Here is a 21244-nt window from a genome sequence, read left to right as displayed (position 1 = left end):
TGCACCCCCAGAGGTAGATGGATACAAAATGCTTAGAATACTGTAAAAGGACTGAAACAGAAGATACTGTGGCAATTTGGACCATCAAGTTATATTTCTTCAGACCAAGAAACACACTTTACAGCCCATAGTGTCTAATGATGGGCAAAAAGATATCACATCAAAATGGACTAGTGGTTTACTAGAGAATTGGAAAAGGTAATTGAAACTTTTTTTTTTGTCTAAAATAGGGGGTGATAAAGGCAGGAAGGGCTGACATATATACCTTCATGTGTATGCACATTCAACATGAGGGGGACAAGAGTGGGTCCCCACTTGACAAATTCTTTTATGGTGGATCTGGAGAAGGGATAGAGGAGGACACTGGTACAAACTACAAAATGATTTCTCCAGTCACCTCAACTTTTCTTTTTTTTTCCAGCCTGGGGCAGTGGTTGGAGACTGCAGGTGCTAGAAACAGGAATCATTCTTAAGCAAGAAACTTACCTTTCAACCTTTATGTCGGAATTGCTATGGGCCTAACGGGGTGGACTGTGTCTTCACCCCACCTGGCAAAATTCAGATTGATAGTGAATGCAGCTGTATTTCCTGGTGGTCAAGATAGCCCACTAGTTCTGTACCTATATATCCTTACTCTAAATAAAAGGGAATGAGCTGAAAGGAAGCACGAGCTAGACTGGTATTACTGCTGGCAATCTAGACCAGGACAGTGGCTAAGCCTAACAACTCTTCCAAAGGTGAAAACGTTTGGGTAAAAAATTATGACAAGTGAAAAATAGGAGAAATAGCCAAGGCACAGGAATAAATAAATGAAATAGGTAATGAGGAAAATCTAGTATTACACTGGTGTTTTGAGAGAGGCTCAGAGCAAGAGACTGTAGTCTCTTAGCTTAATTATCCTAGATGCCCAAAAAGGTAAAGTCAGTTTTCTAAGACTAGCCTTACTCTTAGAAGCTGAAAAGGTTGAATGGAAGCCTGCAAACTTGAGTGGCATTGCTCTGGGAGACATTCTGGTCATAAGATATAATGATGAACTGGACCAATTAATTGTTAATGACAGAGGTAATGAGCCATTATCTTTTGATTCTTATTTTTCAGGTTACATCTACTACAATACTGCAGATACAGTATAACATTGGTATTGCTGGTATGATTCCTCTCCCTTAGGTAAGTCAGTCATATGATGATGATCAAATGTATTGGAAAATTGAATCACGGCCTCCTTGGTATGTAATATCAATGAAAAATGGGCTGAGTAAGAACTGGATCTACTTAATTATGAGTTAATTTCTATGCTGAATATTTATGTACAAGTTTGTTAAAATGTATAAATAGCAGAATATTAAAATAGGAGATAATTATACTAGTTACAAACTAGGCTCTTTGTTAAAGAGAGCCTAGGCCAAGGGACAGTGGGTAGCCTGTGTGTAAATGATTAACTCAGCAGGCCTTGGTTGTCCAAACCTTGCACATTGTAAAGGTTTGGACCTTGCTAAACTCTTGGGAGATAGCCTCTGATGCCTTGGAATACCTTGCCTCATTAAGAGTATCTTTGTCTACCTGGGACCTTGGGCTATGTCAGATAGTAGTTTATGCTAACAATTGATTTATTGTGGTGGTGGTGGTGGTAGAGGCCTTGGACACACAGTATCAATTTTGACCCCTGGAAAGGCCAGAGACTAAGTAACTAAGGTCAGCCATGTGGGCACTGAATGTAAATATAACCAACCTGCAATAGAAACCAGTGACATCAAAGCTAGATGAGCTTCCCTGATTTGCAGCACTTCATATTATCTCACATTATGGCTGGGAGAATTAAGTGCTGTTTCTAAGACTCCACAGGGAGAGAACAACTGGAAGCTTGTGCTAGGTCTCATCTGGACCCTGCCGCATAGCAAGTGTCCCCAACCCTGAGGCCATGGACCAGTACTGGTCTATGGCCTGTGAGGAACCAGGCCACACAGCAGCAGGTGAGCAGTGGGCGAACGACCATTACCACCTGAGCTTTGTCTCCTGTCAGATCAGCAGCAACATTAGATTCTCATAAGAGCACAAGCCCTATTGTGAACTGTGCATGCAAGGGATCTAGGTTGTGTGTGCTCCTCATGAGAATCTAACTAATGCCTGATGCTCTGAGGTGGAACAGTTTCATCCCAAAACCATCCCCCAACATCTACAGAAAAATTATCTTCCCCGAAACTGGTCCCTGGTGCCGAAAAGTTTGGGGACCACTGCTATACGCCATTTACCTTTGCTGATTTTAATCTGTGTCCTTTCAGGGACATAATAAACCATAACCATGAGTATAATGGCTTCTCTGAATTCTGCAAGTCTTTGTAGCAAATTATTGAATATGAGTTGTCTTGAGGACCCCTGACCACACTCATAAACTATTTGCTTTTATGACAATAAATTGATGCAACTCTTTTTGGAGGAAAATTTGACAGTATCCTTATACCAGAAATTATGGGAATGTACCCCCAAAATATGTACGTATATATGCATTAGGCCACACATAAAAGGATATTTATGCAGTTCTGTTTGTCAGAGCCAATGACTGGAAACCCCTTAAATTCATTAATAAGGTACCAGTTAAAGAAATTCTGATTCATCCATTTAATGAAATCTGATGTACCAGTTTATAAAAAAGGAGACTAATATATATAAACTGATATGGAAAGTCTTTCAAGATAGATGACTGTGTAAGACAGAGTTAATTTATAGCTGGACTGGAAAAGCTCTATTTTTACCTCTGGGGAATTCTGGCTGTCCAGCTTTGACTCTTGGCCAAGATAAGAACAGTAAGATTAATGATGTGCTGTTTACTGTCTGAAACTCCCCCTGAGAGTTTCATGTCCCCCGCATGGCCAGTTTGTTTACTGATGGTTTTCATTTGGCAGAATCAGGAAGACAGCCTGGCTTGATGTCATGACTACAGGGGTCTAAAAACCCAGATGGGAACTTTTGCCTTGAGGTTTTCTGAAGCTAAGATGCATCACATAGATCTTGGTGTTTCAGTCTGAAGACAGGCAGTCTATGTGTGTGAATAAGGCCCCTGGAAAGCTTGCACCTGGGCCCCAATGCTTGCCACAGTATCTTTCTCTTGCTGCACCGTATCCTGTGCCTTTGAATAAAAGCCACACAGAAGAATGCTCTGTGAAGTCTTATAAGTCCTTTCAAATATCCAAATTTGTAAAATCTTTGCAATAGTCAAGTGACAAAAGCAAGGTCTAGAGCAATACGTAAGACTGTGGGAAGTAAACTTTCTGAAATGCTAGCAAGCAAAGGTGGAAAAAGCCATCAAGGACACATGTGGGAGAAGATTTTGATTCTTCCTACACAAGGATGTATTGTATTGGGTGTTCCAGTTGGCTTGAGGACCAGCAGAGCTTGCAAAAATTTCAGGGGCACAGACTGAAAATAAAAGAACAGTGGCATAGCCCAAAATAAAGCTTTTATCCAGCATGACTATACCTTGCACAGATAGTGTGACCAGTAGCTGTGTGACATCATGACTCTGGGGATCTTGGGAAACGTATGCTGAGAGAGGTTGCACCTTCACCAGGGTGGAGGCTGGATTCACAGGGCCCAAAGTCTATTCATTATGTAAGATATCTGAAAGGAGGCACCACAAACTCTAGCCACTCTTACAACAATATTTTGGTTAGAAACTATATTTAGAATTTCAATAGAAGAGGCCAGAAACACAGCTGCCCACATCTGAAAGAACCTCAGCAGTAACAGTGGGGGATTACCAAGCAACCAAGGAAAATAGAAACTCTCCCCACTCTGAGCTGCTGATGGTGACTCCTGTGACTGAGGGCAAAATGACGGCTGAAAGTGAGGGCTAGGAAATTTAAGGAAGAGAAAGGTGTGGCAAAGATGTGACAGAAGGGTTTTCTAGTTAGGTGAGGTGGAACCAAGTTGAGTGGAATGAGCACATGCGGCTGGAAGTGACACTGAGAAGCAGTGGCCCGACGGGGTCTTGCTTTCCTCTTCCTTTTGGGTCTCTTCTGCTCTCATTCTCTCGTCACTGTTACTGGAGAGAAATTAGGCAGAAGTCACAGTAGGAGCAGTAGGGATTTTCCTTTATTGCTCCTTATCCATTCCCTCTGTCACAGATATGTCATGAGGAGGCTAGGAAACAGAACCAAAGTACAAAAAGAAAGGCTTGGGGGAAGGTTTAAATTCAGTAGCATGGCAGTGTTTTCTCTGTTGGACTTTTTTATTTCCTGACCTGGTGCTGTAGGAAAAATGAGGTTGGAGGGGGTGGTAGCAGAGGAGAGGTGGGGATGATGGTAGAAGGACTGAAAGGAGAAAAAGAGAGAGAGATGTCCTATACTACAGAAGATAAATATATACCCAGCTTTGAAGAGATGTGTAAGGAAGTGATTCTGTTTAGTACTATTAAGCATGAATTCTTTAATATATTTTTAACCCTATAACTTTGGAATTCTTGAGAAAAATTACCTTTGTCCTCTATGAACAAAAATCAGTGTTCTTTCTCTCTCTCCACCCGTCCTTTCTCCCCATGTCTATCTATCTATATGCCAGATGATATATGAAGAAAATTTAGTTTTTAAGAACTCCTAGTAGGCACTGCAATAAGTGTAGTTATAAAAAGTATGTATGTGTAATTTTTTTTTATTCACCAATGAGTGTCCATAAGATCTCCACCTGGCAATAACATATGTTTGCGTGCCTCAATCAACAAAAGGTGGAAAGTCATGGCAGTGAAAAGATGATGAACAATGGGATGTTTCTGTCATGCCTGTGCACGGATTGGAGAGATGAGGCTATAAGCTTTACTTGGAAAAGCAAAAATGAATTTGGGAATGGACACATACAGAAATATTAAAATCTATATATACTAAAATATATACTCTTCAGTTTCATAAACATCCATTAAAGGAAAAAGCAGAGAGTGGGAAAAAGACAAAGGAGCAGAAAGAGAAAATGAAAGAGGAAAAGAGGAAAAAAGGAGAAAGGCAGAAAGTGGTAAAAGAAGATAAAGATACACTAAGAAGACAGACCTACAAGGAGGAAATAAGGAGAAAGAGACAGAGAGCCACAAAGAGCAGGACTACAGCTCACAGCCATTCCGGCATAGCCTCCATCTGTGACTTCACTCTGTGTATGAGTTTGTGCCTGGGACACCGTCATGCCCTTTGGAATTGTTTAGAATTGCTAAAGCTTCAGGAGCCAAGCAAATGCTGCAAGTGCCTCCATTTAAGCCCATGTGGCTACTGAACACTTGAAATGTGGCTGATCTCAATTCAAATGTCTGTAAAGATAAATGCACACCAGATTCTGAAGACTTTGGACAAAAAGAATGTGAAATATTCTGGATATATTTGGGTTAAATAAAATCCATTTTTAAAGTTAATTTCATTTTCTTCTTTTTGCCTTTTTAAATGTGGCTACAAGCAAATTTAAAATTACATTATGTGGCTCATGTTATATTTCTGTTGGAATGTGCTGTTTTCTAACATTGTGAGTCTCCTCATTAAAATTAAGGTTGGCAAAGTAAGTTTGCTAATGTCTGAATCCCCCAAACTGCTAAAAACATACCAATATGCTGGACTTTTTCATCGATGACTTCACAATGGTATGGCCACCGTGTTGGGCTCAATGGACCAGAAGAAGAGACACCATATAAATCCCTTGGTTCACGAAGACGTGGCACCCATCTCCCTAGCTGATATTCTAATAGTATCTGTGTAGTCCGGGGGAAGAAGGGATCACCAAAAGAGTCAGCTGAGAAAAAGATTCAAACACAATCATGAGTGGGAAGAAGAAAAATACCAACTCCTGTAATTTTTATATAGTTCCTTTTTTCCTTTCAACACTATTCAATGTGTGGGTATCATTATAAATGTTTTATAATTCATGGCACTGTTTATAAAAGTACTAATGAAATTTTGTGATGATTGATCTTCACAGTAGCCAAAAGATAGTTGACTTTTATACTATTAATTTATTCTAAAAGCTCACTACTGGTTTAAAAACATGTTTCTCGTAGCTTTTCTAGCAAATCATCTACTTTGACTCTTCTTAAATGTAGTCACACTATTTGTCTAACGAGTTAAATACAGTGATGAACTATAATTCCTCACCACTTCCTGGAACTGTATTCTCAAGGTTTGCTAGTGAACTCAGTCACAACTTTTTCTCAGTTCTCCTTCTAGAGCTACTGTGTGATACAATGCCAGGAACACAATTCACATAGACTAGTATGGGGCCACGCCAAGCAGGCTGTGCAGTGATCTGGTGTTTTGGTGTGATACTGTACGGCATCAATTTGACGTTGATGGTCACCCTCCTTAAGCGCACTTCTCTTATGATACATTTCCTGGGTTTCCCCCTCCCTTCCACATATTTGGTTTTCCATTTGTCTCACTGACTCCTCTTGCTCTTTCACCTCTGAAATGTGGCTTTTTGCCGAGATTTAGTTCTTGGTTATTTTTGTACAACAGCTGATACAGCAACTGGACTAGAGCTCAGATAACTGGATTCCTTCCCTTTTACCACTTTGTTTTTGTATGACTTTGTTTGGGCAAGGCAGCCTCTTTGAACATAAATCTTACTACAGGTCAATAACTAATAATATCACCTGCCCTAGTTACTTATCAGGATTGTTCTATAGACTCATTCATTCAACAGATGCTTATCATGCATCTACTATGTGCTAAAAACTATATACAGACAATTGCCATACAGGGTGAAAAAAACAATGTCCCTGCCATCATGAGCTTACACTGTAGTAGGGCATATATAAATAGGAAAACAAGATAATTTCAGTGATCATAAATGCTACAAAAATAAAAAACAGAAATATAAATGAAGATTAGAAATGGGAAAGTGGGAGTAAGAATGCTATTTTAGATAGGGTGGTCAGGCAAGATTTCTCTGAAGAGGTAACATGTGAGCTGACACCTAAATAATGAACTCAGCCCCGGAGTAAAGACTGTTGTGGCTGGACACACTCTAACAAAGCTGAAAGGCAAGCCTCAAAGTAATGAAACTGATCCACAAGCAAAACAACTGCTTATCAGGACAAAGTCCAACATTCTTTAACTGAATACAACAAAATCCAGCAACCACATGTAAAATTTGCAAGTTTGTCATTCACCCAAAAGTTAATGAACAAGAGTTCTAGTCCTGCTGTGGCAACATAAGTCTTATAAAGGCCTTCTCTCTCACTAATTCCAACTAAACTCTAGATAAAATACAAAAACATAACTATCTGAAGAATTTGAAAAGTAAACAAGAGCAGACTGTAGAGTTAATACTTAGAGAAGCACCCCCACAGGAAGGTGAGTCCAGCCCCTTGTTTGCTCTGGCCTGCTGAATGGCAGGCCTCATGCACAGAGAAGTGTGGTGGTGCAAATGGCTAAATCTCAGATAGAAACTGAGTCTTTTTTTTTTTCTGTTTACTAAAGTTTGGAGTTATTTTTTATTATAAATGTTTGATTCCAAAATGCTTGAGAGTAGCCTTTTCTTTTTCTCTTGAGCAGAATAATTTAGTCACACCACCCTAACAATGATAATATCCTATTTAGTGATTACCTACTATGTGCCAGACCCAGTGCTTGGAAGAGATACAAACATTGATAAGACAGCCTCTGAGATCAAGGCGTTCTCAGTACAGACAGAAAGAAGGAAGGGTTAGGTGATATGATATGGCAAGGGCAACCATGCAGGCATATACAGGATGTCATGGGAGAACATGGTGGGGTGGTCAGTAGTGTAGAGGTTGAGAAATTCTGGCCTAGACTAAGAAATGACAATATGTACACATACAAGAAAACAAACAAAAAAAATTCCTTCTCCAAATCAGAAACCCAGTCTTTCTTAACAGAAGACCCAGGAAAAGGGGTCCTTACAGTGTGGAGGGAATCTGAAGGGAAGAAAGCAACCAGAGAAAGGTATCTCCTAATCCTGTGTATGAGTGCACAAAAGTCTCATCCTAATCCCTGAGCTATGCAAGCAGACACACTCTCAGAGACTATGAAAACTTAACTGAAATTTTAACCAACCCCCCCCCCACCCACACACAAATGTCTCAGCTCAATCCCTGAATTACACATGTGCAAGATAGTCCCAAACCAATACAAGGAAAACTTAAGAGAACTAAACAGGACTTTGAACCATCTATACAAGTCTCAAAACCCCTGAACTACACTGGCATGGGAAAGAACCAAATAAGCATAGCAAAGGCTTACAGATCAGAACTGAGATCTGAATTATCCACAGAAGGGGCACCAGAACTTATTGCTTCAACCTAACTGGATTGATTGCCTGCTAGAAGAAATACACTGACCCAGAATCTACACAGCATAGCATGAATAATGGAAAACCAGGAGTAGGACCAGTTCTCAGGGCAAAAGGCAATCAACAAATGTTAACATCAAGATAACCCAGATGTTAAAACTATCAGACAAGAACTTTAAAGGAGTCATTACAATTATGCTCCATGAGGTAAGGGAAAAGCACACTTGTACTGAATTAAAACCTAAGAATTATTGGCGAAGAAATAACACATTGCTGGGAATGCAAAAGGATATAGCCACTTTAGAAAACAGATACAGTTTCTCATACAGTATATAGTTAGCATATAACCCAATAATACTATTCCTAGGGATTTACCCATGAGAAACAAAAACATGTTCACACAAGGACTTGTACAAAAATATTCATAGGAGCTTTATTTGTTACAGCCCCAAACTGAAAATAATTTAAATGAGCATGAATGGATGGCTAAATGGAGAAATTTTGATCTATTCACATAATGGAATACCTCTCAACAATAAAAAGGAACTACTGATATATGCAACAACATGGATAAATCTCAAGAGTATTATGCTAAATGAAAGAAGACAGAAAACACAAAATGTATGATTCTGTTTTGTGAAATTCTAGAAAAGCCAAATATAGGGGAGGGAACGCAAATCACTGGTTGCCTGGAGCCAGGGGTGAAGCCTGGAAGGAGAGGATCTACTGCAGAGACACAGGAACACTTAGGGGTGATTAAATGTTTTACATCTTGCTTTTGGTAATGTTCTAAACAAAGGAAGCAACATAAAGGGATTAGTATAAATGGGCAATTCAGACCAACTAAGAATATGAGTAGATAATAAGCCTATAGAAGTAATTCTCAATTTTTCTAGCAATCCCAGAAATGCTAGTTAAAGGAGTGAGTTATCTCCTGTTTTCTAATAGCTTGGCAAAATTTAAAAAACAGAAAAGGGTAGCAGGGAAATGTCCACAAAACAGTACTATAAAATTTCTATGCCTATGGGTATAGATATGTGTATATGCAAAGAAGTTCTAGAATGATACACACCAAACTAAGAATGGTGGTTATTTCAAACAGGAAGATTTATTTTAGGATGGTGGCAAAAGACAAAAGAAAAAAAAAAAGATAAAGGCCTTAACTCCAATTTCAGAGTATTTGTGACACATATGTAAATATTTAGTAGAGATATCTTAGAGTTTGAAAGTACAATTCTAAGTATAAATCTTTAAAAATTAAGTATACATCAAGATGTCCACACACATGTTCAGTTGCAAATGAATGACTTTATTAATGAGACTCTTTAGACAATGTACTTCGTTTAAATGAAGATGTACTTCTAACATAATCTGTCCGTTATAACTTGAGTCATACAGTCAATACATTTAAACAAATGACAAGGTAAATCCTTATGTTAAATATAAGATAATCACCACTTTCATTTATTATTTTCTAATATAAAATAGGCTTACCTAAAACAAACCTGAAAAGTTTGAACTCTGCAAGTAGATACAGTTCTCTTTCACAATCTACTAGAATAATCATTCCCTATATTATTCAATCTGACTTTTTAGTTTCCTCATCTTCTTTTTTATCCATTCAAAGTTTTATGCTAAACAAAAACTATATGAATAGGTTCAAACCTGTTAAAAGTGCACACCGATGAAGATCTTCACTTACAAATTTCATGAACATATCCTCATCCTAAAATAAGAATTTAAAAATATTTCTCTTTTAAAAACCAACAGTTTTCAAATCCAGAATTTTTTTACATCTATTTTAGTACTTGGGATTGAGTATATGTCTTTAACCTTTAATAAACGAGAAAATTAAAGGATTATTATCAGCTACTGGTCTCAATGCACCCAACACTTCAAATATCCTGAAACCTTAAAGTTTGCATCTTTCATTCCTCCTCTTCCACTGGGTGTGGTCATAATAATGACTTTATGGAAGGAATAAAGTTTAAAGATTCTTGATAAACCCGGGAAAACTATTTAAATTAAGAATAAAATTGGCCGGGCGTGGCGGCTCATGCCTGTAATCCCAGCACTTTGGGAGGCCAAGGCGGGTGGATCACCTGAGGTCAGAAGTTTGAGACCAGCCTGGCTAACATGGTGAAACCCCGTTTCTACTAAAAATACAAAAAAAATTAGCCAGGCATGGTGGCACATGCCTGTAATCCCAGCTACTCGGGTGGCTGAGGCAGAATCGTTTGAACCCAGGAGGCAGAGGTTGCAGTGAGCCGAGATCGCGCCATTGCACTCCAGCTTGAGCAACAAGAGCGATCTCAAACTCTGGCTCAAGAAAAAAAAAAAAATTAAATTAACAAAAAGAAAAACACAGAAAGCCATAAATCCTTTAAATAGCTAAAGTAAGCTTTAAGAGCTTATTTCGGGACATTAGTTTACATACATAATTTATACTTTAATAAAATTTGAAGGAAATCTCGCAGCCTATGTAGTAGAAAAAGACTAAAGAATTTTAAATACTACGTTTTTCCCCCTTTTTCTTCTTCCATGTCTCTTCCTTTATGACATCAGAGCCACAATAAACTGTTATGGTGATACACAATAAGGTTAGAACACGGTGGTTCTACTATGATTCATACTACGATGTAACACAATCCAATCAGCACATAGAAGAAAATAAGTGGACATCAATCCTAAAACTAAAACCCTACTAATAATTTCATATACAAATTTTAATAAAACCTAGAAGAATCTTAGCTAAAATATTTTCTCAAAAAAAATACAAATATAGTTTCTCTTTCTAGACAGGGCATAGTGTTCCCAGTGATAGCTTAGCTTTTTCAGCCAAATTATTTCCCAACTTCAATGACAATAATTTAAACATCCAATTGATTTTTATATCCAATTGATTTTATAATATTTTAATTGGGGATTTATATAATACAAATTTTATCTCCAAGTAAAATAAAGTTGAGAAAAACATACCGATTCATCTTCATCACTGATTGTTCTGTCTGAATAGTCTTCCTTTTCTGAATCTTCTGACATCTTTTCCAGTGTTTGACTTGAGATTTCTTGTAATATACGGGTAGGCTGTAAAACAATTTCTAAGGAAATTATATGACAGCTTTTCTTTTCAAGCTGTAGGTGTTTACTACATTAAATGAGTACTCAAAAATATATTCAATTGTATTTAACAGTCACAACAGTCTTCTCTAAAAACTAATTAGAATACAACTAATAAAACCTTCAATTTCAAAGAGTTAAAGGAATTTTCCATGACTATACGAGACAACAACCACAATAAGACAAATCAAGCAAATCATTTAATTAAAAGGAATTTCCAGAGTATACAGCCAAATCATTCACATTTTATATTTACAATTAAATACTACACAGCAAGTTCAGAATGATCCTGAGGCATTAAAAGATAATGAATTTAAAAATTATAGTCACTTACTGAAATGTAGCAATATAATTTTAAGTTTTCTCCTTGATTTTCACTTGACCAAAAGTTCAAGTGACAAGACTTTACATTTTGATTATTATTCTGTAGATACTGTCTGTTCTAATATTCATTTATATTATTCTTATTCTTAGAAATCTAAATAGCTACCAGAAGGTTGTATTGGTAATGACCATTACCATTCTATGCAAGTATCTTCCCATGTGGGTAATATCAAGACCAGGGAATAATCGAAATTTCTTGTCAAGTTCCCATCGTTCTTGAGAGACCAAAGGACTCGACAATTTCAAATCTATTAGTTTACGCCCCTCTCTACAGGAAGCGTGTTTTGGAGCGTGGACTACATATAAGTTAAGTCCAAGCTCTATGGCAAATCACTGCCAATGCCACGGAACCGACTGTCTCATAGATGACACCTTCAGTCCTAAGAAACTGAAGTTTCTGCCTGGGCATCACAACTCCACATTTGGAAAATCCGACTGGCCTAAATTCCATTCCTTACAGGTGCACACAGGGCGCACGAAGTGCTGACCTGCTGCGGATACAGCTCTGGTCTCAGGAAACGGCCCTTATCCACCGGCGCTCCGCGGGTGTCTTCCACCACTGCGGAGGAGGGGCAGATGCGGGCGCGTCCACGCTTAGCCGCGTCCCGACAGTACCAAGGCGTTTTTGGCGGGAAGCACGATGAGGCCACAACTCCGGGCGGCCGAGTTCCTTCCCGCACTCACTCCTGGACACCTTGGTGTGGGGAGGCGCTCATTTTCCGGGGCGCGCTCGCTTCCCGCAGGGGGCGCCCCGCCTTACTTCTGCATACCTCACCGTCCTGTCGGGGCCGGCACCTCGCTCCCACGCGAGTCCTCTGGCCAGGCCAGTCGTCGCTTCCGTGCGGGGAGAATATCTCGGGATCTCGCGATCTCGCGGAGAACCCGGTATCCAGCCGCTAGAAGTAACGCCACTGCTGGAGATCCGCAGCCCCAGCCACACTCCCAACTCTCGTCATCAGGCAACGGGTCCGCCCTCGCGAGACTTCGGACAGCCTTCGGAGATCACCTAGCAACCAGCTCGGAGGAAAGGAGCCTGCGTAGGTTTTGGCTCCAGGAAGAGGGATCCCAGAGGATGCCGGGAACTCGGGGTGGGCCGCAGGGCGGTCAGAGAGGCTCTCAGAGAGGCTTTGGGGTCTGTCGGGAGAATTTAGGAGTGGGGAAGACCGGGCAGCTATTTATTCCCAGTGGTCTGCACTTCGGCTGTTGCCTCAGAGGAGGCAGTAGAGCATGCTGGTTAGGACTGTGCTTTGGAGCCCACCTGACTTTTAACAGTGTGACATTGAACAAATTAATTACCTGGACTTCATGGGTACAATACTTGTAACTACTACTTGGAGATGTTAGAATATTAAAAAGTACGTTGGTCTTGATTTTTTACAGACTGAGTTCCATTCTACACAATTGTGCGATTAATTCGCTTATTCGATTCTGGAAAATGAGGCTTTTCTCCTTAAATACTAAATGGAGAGTCATAGATGAACTAGGGTGAATTCTCAAAATTATCAGCTCAGAGATTCTTTATAGCAATCGTCAGCTAGCATATTTAACACTGTTTTCCTGATGACTGCAAATCACTATATGTAGTCTCATTTAGTTAACAGACGTTATTCATGAACATCCCATATTGATTTTTTCCCTCATCTTTAGCTCTACAGGGTAAGGTAATCTATTTGGAAAAGTTTTCCAAGTACAGCTGAAAAAAAGTCTAGATTTTGATGATATAAGAATGTAAATAAACACTTTTCACAAAGCGTTATATGTCATGAGATTCGTGATATTGTAGAAATGGAGATAATAAATGGTAGCAAGTTTGAAAGTAGAATAAAGGGCAAAGCACTATGGCTTAAGCATGGAAATGGGTTAACATAATCTCTTTGTATTTTGTAAGTATCTGAAAATAGGTGTTTTTGAGGTCAGCAGTTTAAAAGTATGAACCTTCCAGATTAGACCTTGGCCAGAGAATATTAATAGAGTATATCTTAGATCAACCTCTTGAAAAGTAGCTCTTATAGTTGAAGCTTGTTTTATGCCATACATAAATCACTAAAGGTGACATGCACAGAGAAATCTTTATTTATGTAATCTGTTTTTCTGTTGGATTTTAGTCATGGCTGCAAGCCATAGGATGTCAGCTGTACAAGGTAAAACTGAGAAATGGTCTAACCAGGTTATATAAGAAATTAATGGCAGGGCTGAGAGACTTAAGTCTCGTGATTTTTAGTCCAAATAGTTATATTATCACATACCAAGTAGTCCATGGGAAGAAAAATGATCTTAATGCATAATTTTAAAAACTTAGGATTTTTTTTTTTTTTTTGAGACAGAATCTCACTTGCTCTGTCGCCCAGGCTGGAGTGCTGTGGTGCAATCTCAGCTCACTGCAACCTCTGCCTTTGGGGTTCAGGTGATTCTCATGCATCCTGACTAGCTGGGACTACAGGCACGTGCCACCACTAATTTTTGTATTTTTTAGTAGAGACGTGGTGTCACCATGTTGGCCAGTGTGGTCTCAAACTCCTGGTGTCAAGTGATCCGTCTACCTCAGCCTCCCAAAGTACTGGGATTACAGGTGTGAGTCACCGTGCCTGGCCAAAAACTTAGGAACTTGGCAAAACTTTGAAAATGATATTCATTCATTATTTTATTAACAACTTTTTTCTTTTTAAAGACAGCTCTGTCACCCAGGTTGGGGTGTAGAGGCACAATCATAGCTCACTGCAGACTCAAACTACTGGTCCCAAGAGATCCTCATGCCTTGGTATAACAAATTCACTGGATGGCTGCTGCCTACTAGGGACAGTTCACTATTGCAAGGAAAAAAACCAGACATTTATTGTGGAGGTTATGTTCTGGTGGGAGTAATCAAACAAACCAATGATGATAATAAAAATGATATCACTCAGACAATAACCGCTATGGAGAGAAATCAAGTAGGGGGGAAAAAAAAGAATAGGGGATGCTGGGAGTGGGGGGCCTTGCTAGGTTACTCTTTTAGATGGAATGGCCAGGGAAGGCCTCTCTGGCTAGGGGGCATTTGAGCAGAGGGATGAACTGTAGGATGTCTTAGGGGGAGACTCTGCCAGGCAGGGTAAGCAGCAAGTACATAGACTGAGAAGTCTGTGTTATGAACTACAGTTGAGCCTTGAACAACTCGGGGGTTAGGGGTATCGTCCTCTACATAGTTGAAAATCTGCATATAACTTTTGACTCCCCAGAAACTTAACTACTGAGAGCCTACTGTTGACTGGAACCCTTACTGATGACATAAACAGTTGATTAGCACATATTTTGTATGTTATATGTGTTATATACTGTATTCTTACAACAAAGTAAGATGAAATGTTATTAAGAAAGTTATAAGGAAGAGAAAGTGTATTCATTAAATGTAAGTCATTCATCATAATGGTCTTCATCCTTGTCTTCACATTGAGTAGGCTGAGGAAGAGGAGGAAGAAGAGGAAGAGGAAGGGTTATTTTATTAACAATTTTTTTCTTTTTAAAGACAGCTCTGTTACCCAGGTTGGAGTGTAGTGGAGTTGCTGTCTCAGGGGTGGCAGAGGTGGAAGAAAATCCCTGTATACTTGGACCTACATAGTTCAGACTCGTATTTTTCAGGGATCAGCTGTATACTAAGCAGTACTGTTTAGCCAAAGCTTAGCTGGAATCAGTATCATTTTAAGGTATGAGATTTCACAGGGATTTTTTTCTTCCCCAAGTAAAATTGAAATGGTTTGATTAAGCTTCTGCTTTTTTTTTTTAACTCTTTCTTTTTAACTTACTCTCCTATTAAAGACAGTACTATGTACTGGAAATGAAATTCTTTGTCTTTAAGTTAATATTGGAAGTAAGGCCTAGAATAAACTTCTACCAAGGACTTTGTCTGAATTTTTGTTCCCCTTCCCTATAATCTCACCAAAGAAAGTTACTGGACATGTTCCTTCTATAGACAGCTTCTGCCTTTTGGGAAGACAGCTTTACCCTTGTGGCAACTTTTTCTCCTTTTTTGTGTGTGTGTGTGAGTTTACTCTAAGACTGCAGTCTAAAAGGCAATATAATAAAAAATAGAGTAAGAAAAGAGGAAAAGACAACCAAAACTCTAAGTGCCAACTGTGCCAAAAAGCACAATTACTTGTGTGGGAATCAGGAAGAAAGTTCGTTTCAGCAGGATGGCCAAAGATAAGTTGTGTTAGGAGTATAATTTTGTGGAATTATATCATTTTGATCAGAATGAAAATAGAGTCATGAAAGTTAAGAAAACTCTGACAAACAGAGCTGGGGAAGGCCATGAAAGAAGAGTCCTCACATTTGTTTGCTTGATAATGAAAAAGACTCCATAACAACCATAACGTTACACAAGGGCCATCATAACCTTACACAAAAGATACTTCTACAAGGACATTGGCTAAGCAACTGCCTGGCTAACCTCAGACTGGCATCACTCTTGTTATTGATCTTTGTGGCTAAGGGTAATCATTTAAAAAACCAGTATGTAATCTTCCTTTTTTTCTTTTAAAAATCTTTATCTTCCTTTACCTCCCTGACTACACACATAGTTTACTATGACATGCATATTCCCATTGCAATGTTCCATTCCCAAATAAACATCTTTTAGAGAGCCTGTCTCTGTTATTTAGGTTGACAATTGAGAGGGGCTTAAATGAGTATATGAAGTGACTAGCGCAATCAGTTACTTATGACATCATAGAACTCAGTAGTCAAGTGACCTTAGAGGTCTTGTAATTCGACTGAGGAAGCCATAGTAGGGCCTGGGAAGCCTGGGATAGTCTAGTAATTATCTTGGCCTTCTTCATACTATCTGGGTCTAGGATGACCTAATACAGGGCCAAACCTCTTAAACTGTTCCCAAGCTCAAATCTTGAGATCTGTCTCAGCCAGTCAACTAGCCAACACTCAGCTTAAGCATCATTCACTTGATGATGTCTTTTCTAATTACTTTGTCATTGGCAGAATTAATTGTCTGTATTTGGGGGCTACAGTGAAGCTATCGTTGCCCTTAGTATTTGGAAATGAGTTAGTAAGAATGCCTCCTGCCTGCTCAACAGATAATAGATAGGATAAATCATCTCAAAAGAGAACGAATGGTTCCGAGACTCAGTGTGAAATCCCATGACAACAAACATGAAATTGTCTTTTTTCCCCCAAAAAACTGCCCTAACTGTGCAATGGTGAAATTCCCTTTCCGGCTGAGGGCATGTTGGCTAGAGTTGGTAACTTTTCAGCTACTAAAACAGTATCATTTTGATATTTGAGATTTGCTTCTGGTATTTGGCATTCGATTTGGCATTAAGAAGTTCATTTTTTTAAATTATACTTCAAGTTCAAGGGTACATGTGCACAACGTGCAGGTTTGTTACACATGTATACCTGTGCCATGTTGATGTGCTGCACCCATTAACTGGTCATTTACAATAGGTATTTCTGTTAATGCCATCTCTCCCTCCTCCCCCCACCCCAGGATAGGCCCCAGTGTGTGATGTTCCCCGCCCAGTGTCCAAGTGTTCTCATTGTTCAATTCCCATCTATGAGTGAGAACATGTGGTGTTCGGTTTTCTGTCCTTGCGATAATTTGCTCAGAATGATGGTTTCCAGCTTCATCCATGTACCCACAAAGGACATGAACTCATTCTTTTTTATGGCTGCATAGTATTCCATGGTGTATATGTGCCATATTTTCTTAATCCAGTCTATCATTGATGGACATCTGGGTTGATTCCAAGTCTTTGCTCTTGTAGATAGTGCCACAATAAACATATGTGTGCATGTGTTTTTATAGTAGCATGATGTATAATCCTTTGGGTGTATACCCAATAATGGGATCTCTGGGTCAAATGGTATTTCTAATTCTAGATCCCTGAGGAATCGCCACATTGACTTCCACAATGGTTGAACTAGTTTACAGTCCCACCAACAGTGTAAAAGTGTTCCTATTTCTCCACATCCTCTCCAGCCCCTGTTGTTTCCTGATTTTTTAATGATCGCCATTCTAACTGGTATGAGATGGTATCTCACTGTGGTTTGATTTGCATTTCTCTGATGACCAGTGATGATGAGCATTTTTTCATGTGTCTGTTGGCTGCGTAAATGTCTTCTTTTGAGAAGTGTCTGTTCATATCCTTCACCCACTTTTTGATGGGGTTGTTTGATTTTTTTCTTATAAATTTGTTTAAGTTCTTTGTAGATTCTGGATATTAGCCCTTTGTCAGATGACTAGATTGCAAAAATTTTCTCCCATTCTGTAGGTTGCCTGTTCACTCTGATGGTAGTTTTTTTCACTTTGCAGAAGCTCTTTAGTTTAATTAGATCCCATTTGTCTATTTTGGCTTTTGTTGCCATTGCTTTTGGTGTTTTAGTCATGAAGTCCTTGCCCATGGCTATGTCCTGAATGGTATTGCCTAGGTTTTCTTTTAGGGTTTTTATGGTTTTAGGTCTGACATTTAAGTATTTAATCCATCTTGAATTAATTTTTGTATAAGGTGTAAGGAAGGGATCCAGTTTCAGATTTCTACATATGGCTAGCCAGTCTTCCCAGCACCATTTATTAAATAGGGAATCCTTTCCTCATTTCTTGTTTTTGTCAGGTTTGTCAAAGATCAGATGGTTGTAGATGTGTGGTATTATTTCTGAGGGCTCTGTTCTGTTCCGTTGGTCTATATCTCTGTTTTGGTACCAGTACCATGCTATTTTGGTTACTGTAGCCTTGTAGTATAGTTTGAAGTCAGGTAGTGTGATGCTTCCAGGTTTGTTCTTTTTGCTTAGGATTGGCTTGGCAATGCAGGCTTTTTTTTAGTTCCATATGACCTTTAAAGTAGTTTTTTCCAATTCTGTGAAGAAAGTCATTGGCAGCTTGATGGGGATGGTATTGAATCTATAAATTACCTTGGGCAGTATGGCCATTTTCATGATATTGATTCTTCCTGTCCATGAGCATGGAATGTTCTTCCATTTGTTAGTGTCCTCTTTTGTTTCGTTGAGCAGTGGTTTGTAGTTTTCCTTGAAGAGGTCGTTCACGTCCCTAGTAGGTTGGATTCCTAGGTATTTTATTCTCTTTGAAGCAATTGTGAATGGGAGTTCACTCACGATTTGGCTCTCTGTTTGTCTGTTATTGCTGTATAAGAATGCTTTTGATTTTTGCACATTGATTTTGTATCCTGAGACTTTGCTGAAGTTGCCTATCAGCTTAAGGAGATTTTGGGCTGAGATGATGGGGTTTTCTAACCATAGAATCACATCATCTGCAAACAGGGACAATTTGACTTCCTCCTTTCCAAACCAAATACCCTTTATTTCCTTCTCCTGCCTAATTGCCCTGGCCAGAACTTCCAACGCTATGTTGAATACCAGTGGTGGCAGAGGGTATCCCTGTCTTGTGCCAGTTTTAAAAGGGAATGCTTCCAGTTTTTGCCCATTCAGTATGATATTGGCTGTGGGTTTGTCATGAATAGCTCTTATTATTTTGAGATACATCCCATCAATACCTAGTTTATTGAGAGTTTTTAGCATGAAATGCTGTTGAATTTTGTCAAAGGCCTTTTCTGCATCTATTGAGGTAATCGTGTGGTTTTTTTTTCTTTGGTTCTATTTATATGATGGATTATGTTTATTGATTTGCATATGTTGAACCAGCCTTGCATCCCAGGGATGAAGCCAGCTTGATCATGGTGGATAAGCTTATTGGTGTACTGCTGGATTCGGTTTGCCAGTATTTTATTGAGAATTTTTGCATCAATGTTAATCAGGGATATTGGTCTAAAATTCTCTTTTTTTCTTGTGTCTCTGCCAGGCTTTCGTATCAGGATGATCTTGGCCTCATAAAATGAATTAGGGAAGATTCCCTCTTTTTCCATTGATTGGAATAGTTTCAGAAGGAATGGTACCAGCTCCTCTTTGTACCTCTGGTAGAATTCAGCTGTGAATCCGTCTGGTCCTGGACTTTTTTTGGTTGGTAGGCTATTAATTATTACCCCAATTTCAGAGCCTGTTATTGGTCGAGTCAGGGATTCAGCTTCTTCCTGGCTTAGTCTTGGGAGAGTTTATGTGTCCAGGAATTTATCCATTTTTTCTAGATTTTCTAGTTTATTTGCATAGAGGTGTTTATTGTATTCTCTGATGGTAGTTTGTATTTCTGTGGGATCAGTGGTGATATCCCCTTTATCATTTTTTATTGCGTCTATTTGATTCTTCTCTCTTTTCTTCTTTATTAATCTTGCTAGCAGTCTATCAATTTTGTTGATGTTTTCAAAAAACCAGCTCCTGGATTCATTGATTTTTTTGAAGGGTTTTTTTGTGTCTCCATCTCCTTCAGTTCTGCTCTGATCTTAGTTATTTCTTGCCTTCTGCTAGCTTTTGAATGTGTTTGCTCTTGCTTCTCTAGTTCTTTTAATTGTGATGTTAGGGTGTCAATTTTAGATCTTTCCTGCTTTCTCTTGTTGGCATTTAGTGCTATAAATTTCCCTCTACACACTGCTTTAAATGTGTCCCAGAGATTCTGGTATGTTGTGTCTTTGTTCTCATTGGTTTCAAAGAACATCTTTATTTCTGCCTTCATTTTGTTATTTACCCAGTAGTCATTCAGGAGCAGGTTGTTCAGTTTCCGTGTAGTTGTGTGGTTTTCAGTGAGTTTCTTAATCCTGAGTTCTAATTTGATTGCACTGTGGTCTGAGAGACAGTTTGTTATAATTTCTGTTCTTTTACATTTGCTGAGGAGTGCTTTACTTCCAACTATGTGGTCAATTTTGGAATAAGTGTGATGTGGTGCTAAGAAGAATATATATTCTGTTGATTTGGTGTGGAGAGTTCTGTAGATATCTGTTAGGTCAGCTTGGTTCAGAGCTGAGTTCAAGTCCTGGATATCCTTGTTAACTTTCTGTCTCATTGATCTGCCTAATGTTGACAGTGGGGTGTTAAAGTCTCCCGTTATTATTGTGTGGGAGTCTAAGTCTCTTTGTAGGTCTCTAAGGACTTGCTTTATGAATCTGGGTGCTCCTGTATTGGGTGCATATATATTTAGGATAGCTAGCTCTTCTTGTTGAATTGATCCTTTACAATTATGTAATGGCCTTCTTTGTCTCTTTTGATCTTTGTTAGTTTAAAGTCTGTTTTATCAGAGACGAGGATTGCAACCCCTGCTTTTTTTTTGTTTTCCATTTGCTTGGTAGATCTTCCTTCATCCCTTTATTTTGAGCCTATGTGTGTCTCTGCACGTGAGATGGGTCTCCTGAATACAGCACACTGATGGGTCTTGACTCTTTATCCAAGTTGCCAGTCTCTGTCTTTTAATTTGAGCATTTAGCCCATTTACATTTAAGGTTAATATTGTTATGTGTGAATCTGATCCTGTCATTATGATGTTAGCTGGTTATTTTGCTCATTAGTTAATGCAGTTTCTTCCTAGCATCGATGGCCATTACAATTTGGCATGTTTTTGCAGTGGCTGGTACTGGTTGTT

At 39.0% G+C, this 21244-nt stretch overlaps 1 protein-coding gene across 25 annotated transcripts in view, besides 7 other annotated features; it reads right to left on the bottom strand.

The window, feature by feature from the left end:
* The window catches only part of AGBL3 (AGBL carboxypeptidase 3), a 149271-nt gene extending 136529 nt beyond the window's left edge, over positions 1 to 12742 (bottom strand). For 6 of the 25 annotated variants that reach the window (XM_047420319.1, XM_047420318.1, XM_047420320.1 and 3 more), the window contains exons 1-3: positions 11254 to 11375; positions 9940 to 10000; positions 5572 to 5757 (exon numbers count right to left, since the gene is read on the bottom strand). In XM_047420319.1, coding sequence (XP_047276275.1) covers positions 5572 to 5757; positions 9940 to 10000; positions 11254 to 11316 — 310 coding nt within the window. In that variant the 5' untranslated portion in view covers positions 11317 to 11375. Of the gene's footprint in view, positions 1 to 3658; positions 4040 to 5571; positions 5758 to 9939; positions 10001 to 10885; positions 11376 to 12266 lie in introns of those variants that run through there. The other 19 variants (NR_160297.1, NM_001345850.1, NM_001367814.1 and 16 more) reach the window with 11 other exon arrangements.
* Positions 2860 to 2929: an enhancer, noted in NCBI's record as "active region_26701". NCBI's record gives its function as "activates an Ori minimal core promoter by ATAC-STARR-seq in GM12878 lymphoblastoid cells {active_cell/tissue: GM12878}" and the evidence as "EXISTENCE:reporter gene assay evidence [ECO:0000049][PMID:35858748]".
* Positions 3130 to 3209: an enhancer, noted in NCBI's record as "active region_26700". NCBI's record gives its function as "activates an Ori minimal core promoter by ATAC-STARR-seq in GM12878 lymphoblastoid cells {active_cell/tissue: GM12878}" and the evidence as "EXISTENCE:reporter gene assay evidence [ECO:0000049][PMID:35858748]".
* Positions 3590 to 3709: an enhancer, noted in NCBI's record as "active region_26699". NCBI's record gives its function as "activates an Ori minimal core promoter by ATAC-STARR-seq in GM12878 lymphoblastoid cells {active_cell/tissue: GM12878}" and the evidence as "EXISTENCE:reporter gene assay evidence [ECO:0000049][PMID:35858748]".
* Positions 7752 to 7801: an enhancer, noted in NCBI's record as "active region_26698". NCBI's record gives its function as "activates an Ori minimal core promoter by ATAC-STARR-seq in GM12878 lymphoblastoid cells {active_cell/tissue: GM12878}" and the evidence as "EXISTENCE:reporter gene assay evidence [ECO:0000049][PMID:35858748]".
* Positions 12051 to 12310: an enhancer, noted in NCBI's record as "active region_26697". NCBI's record gives its function as "activates an Ori minimal core promoter by ATAC-STARR-seq in GM12878 lymphoblastoid cells {active_cell/tissue: GM12878}" and the evidence as "EXISTENCE:reporter gene assay evidence [ECO:0000049][PMID:35858748]".
* Positions 12391 to 12530: an enhancer, noted in NCBI's record as "active region_26696". NCBI's record gives its function as "activates an Ori minimal core promoter by ATAC-STARR-seq in GM12878 lymphoblastoid cells {active_cell/tissue: GM12878}" and the evidence as "EXISTENCE:reporter gene assay evidence [ECO:0000049][PMID:35858748]".
* Positions 12541 to 12840: an enhancer, noted in NCBI's record as "active region_26695". NCBI's record gives its function as "activates an Ori minimal core promoter by ATAC-STARR-seq in GM12878 lymphoblastoid cells {active_cell/tissue: GM12878}" and the evidence as "EXISTENCE:reporter gene assay evidence [ECO:0000049][PMID:35858748]".

This window comes from Homo sapiens, chromosome 7 (assembly GCF_000001405.40).
Source record: "Homo sapiens chromosome 7, GRCh38.p14 Primary Assembly".
NCBI classification, from domain to species: domain Eukaryota; kingdom Metazoa; phylum Chordata; class Mammalia; order Primates; family Hominidae; genus Homo; species Homo sapiens.
The sequence above is the reverse complement of the archived record's forward strand: the minus strand, read 5'-3'. Positions and strand labels throughout refer to the sequence as shown.